Source organism: Homo sapiens, chromosome 9 (assembly GCF_000001405.40).
Source record: "Homo sapiens chromosome 9, GRCh38.p14 Primary Assembly".
NCBI classification, from domain to species: Eukaryota; Metazoa; Chordata; class Mammalia; order Primates; family Hominidae; genus Homo; species Homo sapiens.
In genome coordinates, this window is record NC_000009.12 from 103933583 (window position 1) to 103947123 (window position 13541).

Sequence of the window (13541 nt, forward strand, 5' to 3'; positions counted from 1 at the left end):
TTAAATGTATATTTTAGAAGAGAAGAAACTAAAATTAATGGAGTATGCCTCCAAAGAGAGTGAAATAAAGCCAAATACAGTAAAAGAAAGGACACAATCAAAATAAGATCAGAAATAAAGTACAATAATGTAAAATAGGATAAAATATCAAAAGTTGGTTACTTATAAAGACTAATAAAATTGGTAAATCTCTCATAACATTTTTCAATAAAAATATTTCTGAAAATAAATCATTAAATGACTAAAACTAGTAAGACAATACTAGTAACAACCTTATTCCAATTAGTTTGAGAATTGATTAATAAACAACTTCTCTGAGAACTATGTTACCACAGCGGACTCCAGAAGAAATTAAAAACCTGAATAGTTCTATGGAATTAAAGATAATTAATCAATATTTAATGTGCTTAACATGATCTTCAATACAAAAATCTGACAAAGAAAATAAGAGGAAGATTATAAGCCCTTTTCACTCATGAGCACTGATGAAAAATTAAACAAAATATTAGCATATTTAATTGAGTAATATAAAATTGAAAATAGATTATTAGCATTAACAAGTTGAAAATGTATATGACAATCATAAAATTCTGTGTCATTCATGGGGGAAATAAACTTGAAAAACAAAAACTAAATCTGGAGAGGATGAATTATATAAATCTTAGAAAAGAAGCTTAGCAAAACCCAGAGTAGACATTATTCTTAACAGTAATACCATGGGAATTTTCTTTTAAAATCAGAGAATAAAAATATCTTCCATTACGAATTCTATACAACATTGTTCTGGAGGTTCTAGCCAATGTACTGAGCCAAGAAAAGGAAATAAGAGGTATACAACCTGGAAAGAAGTAGACAAAACTGTCATTCTCAAATGATAGAATTATGTAGAAAGAAAATCTAGAAGAATCTATCAAAAAATTATTCAAATTTATGAGATTATGTAGCAACTTTGTTGGATCAAAATAATTCTTCAACAATCAATTGTATTTCTGTATACTAGAAATAAATAGAAGATAAAAAAATTTAATATGGTTTATTTACAATAGAATAAAAATACTGAATACTTGGGAATATATTTAATAAAAAATTCGAGATGTCTTTGGGGAATATTATAAAATTGTATTTTGAGGCTTAAATAGAGATATATAATTTTTTCATGACTTGGAAAATTCAATACTTGAAAGATGTTCCTTCTCTCCAAATTCATCTATAGAATGAAAGCATTTCTAATTAATAAACCTACAGGAATTTGTAAAACTTGACAAGCTGATTCTCATTCCATATGGAAATGTGAAGAGTCAAGAACAGCCAAGACTATTTATTGCATAGTGTTAGAATCCCCTAGGATACTTTCATTTTCCTCTTTCCATGACTCCTTTGTGATCTTAAGTTTACTTTTATTTCTAACAGCCAGTAGCTGCCATTCTGTTTTTCTAAGACTGTCCTTGTCCCAGCACTCAGAGGGGAGAGTCGGGACACCAATTAAGCAATATTAAGATAGCAGAACATAAAGCCAAGCTTCCTTGTCAGTGCAGACTTATCTATTAGACAAGTAGGCACTGTGCTTTGGGCCCACAATACTTTGTGGGGCCCCACAAATGCTTTTACTTTATTTTAGAATAAGAAGAAAAATATGAATATAGTAATAATGAATCCATAAAATAGTACATCCAGTCTGAATTCTATTCATCTTTCTACAAATCTAGTCATAAAATATAAATTTAATTCCATTGTATATATGTACCACATTTTCTCTATCCAGCCCACAATTGTTGAACACCTAGATTGATTCCATGTCTTTGCTATTTTGAATATGCTGCGATAAACATGCAAGTGCAGGTGCATACATACAATGGAATACCACATAGCCATAAATAGCATAAAATTATATCCTTTGCAGCAACAAAGGATGCAGATAGAGACCATTATTTTAAGGGAATTAACACAGAAACAAAAAACCAAATGCTGCATGTTCTCACTTATAAGTGGGAGCTAAACCTTGAGTACACACAGATGAGAATCCAAAAGTCAGGAAGGAGGAAAGCGGGAAAGGGCTGAAAGAAAAACTTCTTATTGGATACTATGTTCACTATCTGAATGATGACATCAATAGAAGCCCAAACCCCAGCATCATGGAATATACCCTTGTAATAAACCTTCACATGTACCCCTGAATCTAAAATTAAAAAAAAGTAAAAAAGCATGACTCCAACAATCAAAATATATATATATATATATATATGTATATATATATATACACATATATAAATTATAATGCAGAGTAATACCCCGTGGGTTCAAACTGAAACTATCTTCTATGCGATTTGTCTGCTACTGCTCCTTTCCTTCCGTATCTTTCTCTGTCCTGTTTTCCTCAGTCCATTATCAGTTTCCTAATCTGCTTCTGCCAGACCCTAACAAGGGCAACATTCTTTAAGAAGAACCAATGAAAGAAGTTGCTCTCACCAACAGTTATAAAGATAAGTATAAACCATAGACCAATGGGAAAATAATAGAATCCAAAGATAGACTAACCCATATGTGTACATGATCTTTTTAAAAAAGACGCCCTCAGATCAATGAGGAAAGAATTGTCTTTTCAATAAATATGACTTAGAATATTAGATACACATCTCTGGCCAAAGAAACCTAAAAATTATATGGACAAGCAAAAGCCCAAGTCTCTACTCAAGAAGGAAAACAATGTGACTAATTCATGCTATCTGATATCAAGACTTAGAATTCTTAGACTGCAGTAAGGAAGACAATCTTGCATAGGCTCACGAATAGATAAATAGGCTTAGAGAAGAGAATGAATCCCTGCATGTATGAAAACACAATGTCTAAGATAGCTAGCATTGCAAATCTTAGATTAAAATATGCAATATTTAGTATGTTGCTATGAATATATAATTAACACCAAAAAAAATGAAGTAGAGTTACCACTTCATGCCAACTACAAAAACAAATTTTTTTAAACTTCATGACAAAAGTATAGGAGAAATTTTTATGACTTTGGCATAGGAAATAATTTATTAAGTATAAACAAGTAATACATAAAATAAAATTTAACTAAGGTAATAAATTTAGAACTTACCATTCATAAAACAAAACTTTTTAAAGAAACTGCATAAGGAAGTTTGAAAAAGATAAGTCTCAAAATAGCAGATAGTAATTCCAACCATTATTACTGATGGAATAATGGCCAATAATGGAAGCTGTAGTTTTGTTCAGCACTTTCCTTTTTATGACTAAGAATTTAATTTAATTTTTTAAATGGAAGCCAAGTAAATTAGTTATCATTTTTGTTTCATAAAGTAATATTTTTGTTAGATTTGTTTACCTATATAAGGAAGGAAATCAAGAGGAAAAAGTTAAGTAATCTACTTGAAAACGAGGAGGAGTCAATGATATAAAAACATGTATTTTACAAATAAAACATAAATGGCCAATAAATGAAAAAAGTTTTATTATTCCTAAATATAGAAACATATTTAAAACATGGGAAATATCATTACTGTCATTTCACCGGTAGAAAGCAAAAAGTCTGACTATGCAAAGAAGTGAAGATTTGTTGCTGTGGGGATACTCATCCACAGCTAGTAGGACTATACACTGTAAGCCACTTTGGATAGCTCTTTGGCATTACCTTGCAAAGTTAAAAATGTGCATATTCAGTACAATCTTAATTTTAGGTATATCTTCCAGAAAAATTCTTACACATTTGCCAAGAAGACAGGTACAAGAATGTCTATGGAAACATTGTTTGCTATAAGAAAACACTAGAAAAAATTCCACAGACAGGAAACAAAAATTGCTGTATTCATATGATGGAATAGGATACAGCCTTAAAAAATGAGTGTGCCTAACTATATCTCACATGGATAAATTTACAAATGTAATGTTGAGTAATATTTAAAAGCAAGTCATAGAAAATTCACTCATTTCCTTGACTTAACACCAGATTACTTAACTAAAAATAAACATAATAATACCTACCTAACAGAGTTATAGTGAAGATTAAATGAGACTATATTTTAAAGACATAATATATGCCTAAAGAGGTTTGTCTGTTTCAACTTCATATTCTCAAGTATAAAATAATAATGTAAAAATGTTATGGAAACAACATAAAGTAACAAAATTGTTTTGAAGAAGTGTAATAACTTTAAAATCACTTCAGAAGCATCTCCTCATGTGCATGACGGATATAATTCTAAAAGTTATAATTCATGTAACACACAAGCAAAATAAGAGTTTTTATTCAATGCCAGATATTTTTATAATAGATAAAATAATAATTAATCTGTGTAATAAGAACAGCTATTTCTAATGGCACACTTTGCCATGTATCAGCCACTGTCACAAGAAACTGAAATTCATTACTTCATTAATTCTTGGAAAAACTCTCTCAGACAGCTAACTTTGTTAGTCCCATTTTACAGAGAAGCAAATTAAGGGTTTGGAAATACATTATTACGTTTTCAAAAATCCAAATAGTTTCATTTCCTCAATATAATCACTGATAGCATTTCAAAGTGATTTCTTCATTCTTTTTCACTAAACATCACATATCTATTTAATGTTAATTAAGTTTCTCTATACAGTGTTTTTAAGTTGCTTAGTTTTCTTAATGTTGGATGTTTAAGATTCTAAAAATTGTGGTCTCTAGTGATAATGTTGCAATGGCTATCTTGAACAAAAAGCTTTATTTTGTACTATGTTTTAGATCATGTACTTAAGATACTTCACGACAAACATACAGATTCTCATTTTTTAAAACTCTTGATGGAAATGGGCAATTTGTTGTCCTGAAAGTTTGTACTAAGATACAGTATCATCATATATACATTCAGATTTGAAAACACATATACATATAGATGTGCATATATGTGATTTTAATCATTTCATTCAGTATGTTTGTAATATTTATTTTTTGAATTACAATTTGAAAACAAGCTAATCTGGTATAGGTGAATGAGAATTTCAGAAATTACTGCTAACATCACCCAACAGAAAGAAATATTTTCAACTCTCTGCTAGAACGAAAATCATGAAAGCAAATAAAATTTCACCATGCAGAGATTAGAGAAACAAATTTGTCCAAAAGGATAAACAAAAAACACCACTGCTAATGGAAGAGACAGGTGCTAGACAAGAAAATGAGTGTGTAGAATTGAAGACTAAGGTTTGTTAGGTTTCAAGAAACAGATGACTAAAAAACATGAATGATTCCTTTTTCAGGGCTATCAGGGTGAAAGGACTTATAAATGATCAATTTTCTCGTCTGTGAAGTTTGAAATGAAGGATTACTTCAACTGACAGGCAAAGAAAAGAAAGGTTGCTGAAAAGAAGGCACACAAATTGGTAGTGGGAAATGACTGTCAAAAAAATAGCATATTTTTGAGGAAATTTTAAGACTTAAAGAAAATTAAATATCAATGGAATAGTTATAATCTAAAGAAAAAAGAGTCAAAGCCAGCAAAGGTAACACACCCTTTTCTTCATTAAATTTACTAAATATTTTTACTACCTAATAGATGGGCACTAAATTTGGTCCTAAATAAGGACTACATTAGACTTTGTCCCTGTACTATAGAGGTCGAGAGACTATTTGGAGAGTAAACAAATAAAGGCAATTATAACACTCGGTGATACATCTTTAGTAATTACAAAAAAATGCACACAGTTAAACAAAGGAACGACCTTATTTAAACTGTGAATTAGCAAAGTTGACAGTGTAGACTTTACTTTTAAGATACTAGCCAGTGTTATCAAAAGTGAGCATATAGACAATTTTATTCACTTTTTGTGGCACTATAAATTATTGCCATCTTTCTAAAGTTGAATTTGACCCTGTCAAAAACAGTAAAGTATCTGAGATTTTACCTTCCTTGCAAGTGAAAATTTAGCCTACAACATTCCCATGGAGGCTGGCCAAAGTTTTGAGACTCCTGTAGCCACAATATTATTTCTTTGTTGTGCCAGTTCTCCAAACCCGAACTGGCACAGAGTGAAGCAAAGATCACATGACACATGATATACCATAAATTGTAACACAAGAGAGGAACCTGAACCTAATTATTTTATGCTGGACAGAAAGTGCCCATTGCTCTGGAGGAAGACATTATCTCTCTCTTCCAAGATTGCTCACCACACAATCATTTATAAAAAACTGGAGCAAAAGTAGTGAGTGATTCCTTATAAGACATAGGGGTATGTGAGAAACTCCTGAAAAATTGTCTCCCAACAGATCCTAAATATAAAAAGTCTTAAAAAATATCTGACATTGCATGAAGAATGGAATTGTTCAATCAGAATCAAATGAATCAAAGATCTTAATATGGAAATAACAATTTCAAGTATACAAGTAATTATGAGGAATGGGAAGAGGTTTGAGAACACCACTATGTGACAAGTCCTTTCTTGTCACATCAGCTTCTAAGACTAGTGTATAGTCACATTACTTGCAAAGAAGAGAGTTGTTTCCATCATAAAACATCTCAATGTCATACTCAGTTATTTATATAGCATAAGTGATATATTGCAGGCATCTATCCCCCATAAATGTAAGTTTGTTTTCTACAGTTCTAGACAGACTGAGTATACCCTGCTAAAAGCATTTCATAATAAAGACTTCCCTGCTGGTAAACACCATCGTTGGGTTTGCAATCAGTTATGGTATTAATATATTTACTAGAAGGTTGGTGAGGTAGGTGTTTTTATTATTCTCAATTTATTTAACTTCTTGGCACCTCCGTTTTCTTACCCACAAAATAAGAAAAATAAAAGCAGATACCTCACATTTATTACATAGAATAAGTGAGTCAATACCTGAGTATGTAAAGCATTTAGAATAGTGCCTTGCATATTCTAAAACCTATTGTTAACACTATAATTGTAGAATAATAAAGTCCTTCTAGGAAAATGTTTACAATTTTTGATATATTCACACGATAATATATAATACAATCTTTTTTGCTTTTGAAAAATATTTAATGCAATAAGACAATGCTCATAATATATGGTTAAATAAAACTAGTTGGACTCAAAACTGTATTCCCATATTATACCTGTTTTGCAAATATGCACACATGTATATACATCAACACTCATTAAATATACTAAAGGAAATCTCCAAATATTAATGCTAACTTTGGTTAGGAGTAGATTCTTCTTCTTTACATATTTTCTCATAATTTCCATAATAAATTTTTAAAGGATTAGACTCTGTAATACTTTTATAGAAAAACCTAACACTGTTGAATGAGTTTTTTAAATAACTATTTAAATTCCATTTGTAATAGTATGCGAAGCTGATAAACCCAGGTGGATTCAACTTCCCTTCAAAATGCTTTTTTACTAGTTCTTTCAAATTACACAAAGCACCTATTTAAGATGAAAAATATTTGCATTGTATTATTATAGTGCTTCCACTTTTTAATTGTTTTTGTACCCCCAAACCAATGCCTTGTTTATCCCATTTATAATGCTTTCAATATATGAGACCCATATTAATGTCTCCTACACATTACAGAAAGTGTCTTCATTCATTCAATAGAAGATGTTTCGATGTAGATTCTCTTTATCCTCCTTCACAATTTTGAGTGCTATAATACAGGGGTTCCCAACCCCTGGGCCTTGAACCGGTACTGGTCCGTTGCCTGTTAGGCTGTTAGGAACAGGGCCGCACAGCAGGAGGTGAGCAGCTGGCAAGGACGCATTACTTCCTGAGCTCCGCCTCCTATCAGATCAGCAGCGACTTTCGATTCTCATAGGAGTGCGAACCCTATTGTGAACTGTGCATGCAAGAGATCTAGGTTGCGGGCTCCTTATGAGAATCTAATGCCTGATGACGTGAGGTGGAACAGTTTCATCCTGAAACCATTTCCTCCATCCATGGAAAAACTGTCTTCCATGAAACCAGCCCCTGGTGCGAAAAAAGCTGGGGACTGCTGCTGTAATAGATAGATCTTTGAAGCTAGACTTGTGTAAAAAACCAGAGACTCCATATTAACTATTGTATTAATATTATGAAAAGAAGCTTGATTATAAAGCTGGTCTGTTAAATTCAGAGACTATGTGAACTGGTTATTTGACTTCCTTTATGTTTTCTTGACAAAAGTAAGTGAATTATTTATTTACTTGGAACTGAAGGAAACCTTAGGAATGATCTAATCCAAAATAATACTGATTAGGGCAATCCAGCCATCACGCAATTAAGTGTAGTTTATCTGACTAGGTAGCATTTTTTTTCTCTTTCATTGTATAATGCATTTCCTTCATGAATCTGCCTGAAAGAATTAAGAAGGACAGTCTTCTCGGATATAACATGACCATTCTTGCATTCTTTGGTGGGTAGGAACTGAATAGCTACAGATCTCTGCCTCTTCCAAACAGCATGAATACTTACCTTTCTCATCTTACAGATGTGAAAACTGAAATCCTGGGTAGCTAGGTGGTTGCTTCAGACAAAAATCATTAATTAGAGATAAAGTTAGGTCAAAGACCATGTTTTTGACATCCAAGTCTATGATATTCTCAGTAAATTAAACCAACTCTTTTTAAAACATTATCAAATTAGCTATTTTAATCAATTATAATAAATATGCATACAAGGTTTTTTTTATTTTTTTCTGAGACAGCCAGGTGTAAATATATAAGCAAATAGACTGGCTTAATGAGAAATCTAATGCAGTAGTCCATCTATGAGGTGAGTCAGTGTGGTTTGTGACCAGGGATGGGAGATATTGCAGCTTCAATAGCTCAAATGTACTGGAATTTCATTCACAGCTCACTGTATTCAGAATCTGCAAGAAGCATAAATTCCAGGCCTGAGTAAATGGTGAAAAAGAGGCGGTGCCTTGGCTAACTTGACCTCAGATTCTAGTAGAGTTTAGAGATGCAGGGATGCCTAGACTGCAAGACTGGGAAAGGCAGATTATAACTACGCACCATTAAGAAGAAAAAGAAGAAAAAAAATAATTTGTTGACCAAAAATGTACTTTGCATTCAAGGATTTTTTTTCATAGATTCTGTTAATGAGTGAGGAATACTTAAATATTTAAATATAATTTTTTGGTAGTTCTTCAATAATACTGATCACTAGGACTTCTTCAGAATATTTTGATAGGCTACTCACATAGCCTGAATAGTAAAATGTATAAAATGGCATTGCCTATGGGCTTGCTTTATGCAGAGGAAAATTAAAAACATAGCCAGCTGCCAGATGGAAGATGTGTTTGCAGAGCTGAGAAAACTGCTGCAGAGCAAACACTGCTTAACAATAGCAACTGGGGCCTGCCTTGGCACTTGTTATCTATTTGCAGTCATTCATAAAACTTTAATGTTTAGACATTAAACAAAGCACAGAAGTGATATTGCTATGGTCTGCTAAGTGTTAGTGCAGGATGAAGACCTATCGTTAGAGTTATGAAAAACCACAGCAGCACAAGCAGCTATAATGATTTAAGAGAATATGACTGCTGCTTTTCTCTCATCTAAGAGGATAGAGCTAACTGGTAAATATACAACTTACTTCATATAACTTATTTATGATGTACATGGAATCATATAACAGCATCATGCTATCATGTTTTTCAATAATATATTCTGTCATTGGCTAAGTTTATGGAAGTAGTCTCAGAAATTATCTTTCCCCAGAGTATCAATATGTAATAATATATGACCCTTGTTTGAGCTTAATTTGCCTAATTACCATGGATTACTCTATGTTAACAATTGTTATTTCTCAAGTCAATATATGATGATGGCTTGTGTGATATGGGAGATATAAAAAGAATGTTTCCAAAACAAAATATGTAGAAGAGGAAGACAGAGCTGGGAATCAAAGGAAAGGTGTTTGTTTGCCTCTCCGTATCTCATTATGTTTTTCATCTATGAAAACTGCTAATAGTTCACATAGTTGTTAGGATAATTTAATGAAACACTGCAAATGAATGCTCTGATCATAGTCTGATTTATAATAAGATAAGAACTATTATAAAGAATATTTGATTGTTGCTATCAGGTTCCTTAAGACCTGGAATTATAGACTGTAAGGAGGGACTGATGGTCTTTCCGCCAGCATACTCTGGGAGGGTCAGTGGCCACTTTTTTTCACTCTCTACCCTCTACCTTAGATCCTCCAAACCTCTCAATATTAGTTATGGTTTATTTAACCCAATTCCAGAAATGATCTATGCACACCTGCAGGCTAAACCTCAATCAGTATAGGAACTAGCCAAATACATATTAATAGTTATTTTCCTAGCAAGTGGAATTTGGAAGTAGTTCACAGCTGTCATGACTGATGAATGTGAATCTAAAGCTATTCAAAGCCCCAGATGCCTGGGACAGCATCCTGCGGAAACTTCCTGACCTACACTAATGCTGTGCAGTGTCTCTGCTAGGCTATAGACTAAACTCCCTCTGATAGTCTGGGAACACTGAGTTTCTGGCCTCAGCTTCTGGTCATTACTCCTACTCCTTACTAATGTCCCCTCTGTTGCTCTCAAATTTATAATGCCACACAAAATGTCTACCCCATTTAAAACAGAAATTTTTGGAAATAGATGTCCTTTCTATATTGGATTTGAGTTTGAAGAGTGTCCCTAGGGCTTACTGTAGATTTGTGGACAAAATCTATACTTTGCATTCAAGAATTTTTTTTCTCATATATCTTGTTAATGAGTGAGAAGTATTTAAATATATGCATATATATTCACTCTTCCCCAACTTGGGTTGCACCCTCTGTTCTCATTGCACTATTAAACCCACATAAACTGGTTGCACAGTTCACATCCATCTGGTTATTGGCTTTCCATTCTTGGAAGTGCTCCTAGGGTCAATAATACAGCCTAGGCCTACAGTTTAAGACACTCTTGGTTGCTTTATACAGGCTCATTTAGAATAAATTTCATGCATTGGGGGAAGTTAATTGTGGTATCAGCTTATTATGAAGTTGTTAGAGAAAGTTTGCTTACATTAACAAACTGGTGTTCTACTGAGATTAATCTCTTCATTTCTATCATATGCTCCACATAAGACAAATAAAACATTTTAAATGAAAATCACCATAGATTTCTCCATAGCTAGTAAAAGAACTCACCCCAGATTCTGCAGGAGGGAATAGTATACTCTACAATACAATGGCTTGGGAAGAATAAGAAAACACATTCTGAGTCAATGAAGAATGAATATCTGACTGTCCTGTACAGAAGTGAGATATTGGACTGCATTACGAATACTTACAGCAAAGGCTAAACTCTTCTTCAGGCAAATTTTATTTTCAAAGACGTCTATATATAAACATGTTATTTAGACTTCTTAACAAAACATTATTGGCCACACACCTCTCACCTGCATAAATTTACTTGACAGAAACATCTGAATTATGAATGTTTAGGTAGCTTACACTTTTAGCATTTAATACATTTGAAAATGTTATGTAAGATCAGTAAGTTTTAAGATCGCTCCATTATAGAGAAAGATACAGGAAGAACTAAAGAGATTTTTCTGAACTTCCTAAAAAGAAATTTCTAAAAAGGCAATGTACATATCTCAGTAGTATGAACCTAACAGATAAATATTTCATAATAAAACAAAAAGAACCTCAAATTGGCTAAGAAAGGTCATAAAAATGACTCAATTGTTAAGTTAACTGATAAATATTAATTGCAGCCCATTATGTGTCAGATTCTAGGAGTCCCAACCTGGTAAAACCTCAAGTATTGCTCAACAGATTTTGGGTGGGAGGAGCCATCTCTCTAAAGAGACAGCACTTTGCTGAATAAGGAGCGAAGTGGCTAGTCATATCTTTGAATGCATCCTCTATATCTAATTATTCTCATTGTCTTCCTTCTCCTTGCCCATGTTTGTAGCTAAGATCATACTGACTGGGATCAACAAAGAGTTGCAATAGATTCCCATGATTGAAAAAATGAGAAAGAAAAAGGTCAAGTATATTTCTCTCTTTTTCTTATTCCTTTTTATTACATATTTCCCAAACTGTTTCTGTCTTTTTTTATTGTCTCCTTTTGTCTTCTCTGCTTCCTCCTTCACCTACGACCTTCTCCTTTTCTTTATCTTTCTTCTGTCATCTTCATTATCACCTCTTTTTCCTTTTTCTCCTCTTTTTTCATCTCTTCCTAACTGCAAAAGTACATATCAATCATTAACAAACAAGCTTGGAACAAGTATTTAAGATCTTCAGAGGACTCATCGGTCAGGATATAAAAAGATCACCATCAGGAATATTTTAAAGTTTTTATCATTGACATGATAAACAATGTCAGTTCCATGTAAAGACCACCAGAGTAACCTAGTAATCCAACAAAATTGAGTTCATTAAACACTGAAGCAAAGAAGATCACCACCTCAATAGTCTCAATAGTGTCTCAAAAGGGAGAAATTAAGGAAGATTTTGGGCTTTGGGGTTTGGGATAAAGTGATTTGAAAATAGGTCTTTCAAGATGAGGATCTAATTAGGATTTGGGAAAGTTTGTGACGTATCATTTAGAATTGTTTCTCCAGCAAGTAAAGGATCTTAAAGTAAGCCTTAATAATCAAACTATTGCTCTAATAAGCAAGCTGTCTGCTCAGGTATATGAACTGTTGTCCAAATCATTCACCTAGACAAATTAGTTTGAAAAAATTTCTTGAAGCAAAAAATAAAATGTATTGGCTTACGGGTTTATCTTTCTGGTTAAAAACTTCCTGATCAAACAGTTAAATTATATTGACACAGTTAGTCTCACTTCTAGTCTCAACAGTTATGTGAAAGAAGCCTTAGTTCTTATATGAGCAGTGGAGGACTTAGTTTAACACAAAGAAACTGCTTTTTTATCAAAATATTGGGTAAACTGCCCCACAATATATTCTAGAAAAACAGTGAAATATAGGCTTTATCAGTTCTCAACCAGGGAAGGTACTATATCCCAGGAGGTATTTGGAAATATATCAGGCACACTGTTTGCATTTAGAGAATAGTTTCCAGAGATGCTGTTTTAATCCATTTGTTTTACTATATAGGAAATACCTGAGACTGGGTAATTTATAAAGAAAAGAGATTAATTGGCTCATGGTTCTTCAGGGTGTACAAGAAATCTGGTGCTGGCATCTGCTTCTGGTGAGGGCCCCAGGAAGCTCACAATAATGGTGGAAGGTGAAGCAGGAGCAAGCACATTACATGACAAGAGCTACCGCCAGAAAGTGAGGCAGGGAAGGCCCCAGACTTTTAAACCACCAGATTTCAAATGAACTAAGTGAGAACTCACTTTTCACTAAGGGGATGGTGCCAAACCATTCAGGAGGAACCTGCCCCTGTGAGCAATCACCTCCCAAAAGTCCCACCTCCAACACTGGGAATCACATTTCAACATGAGATTTGGAGGGTACTAACATGCTCACCATATCACATGCTAAATGAATTGCAACATGCAAGGCAGACCACATGACAAAGAATTTTTCTACCTAAAATGCCAACAGACCCTGTTAAAAACAAGGGCTGAATGATCATAATTTAAGGTAGAGTTTCGGTT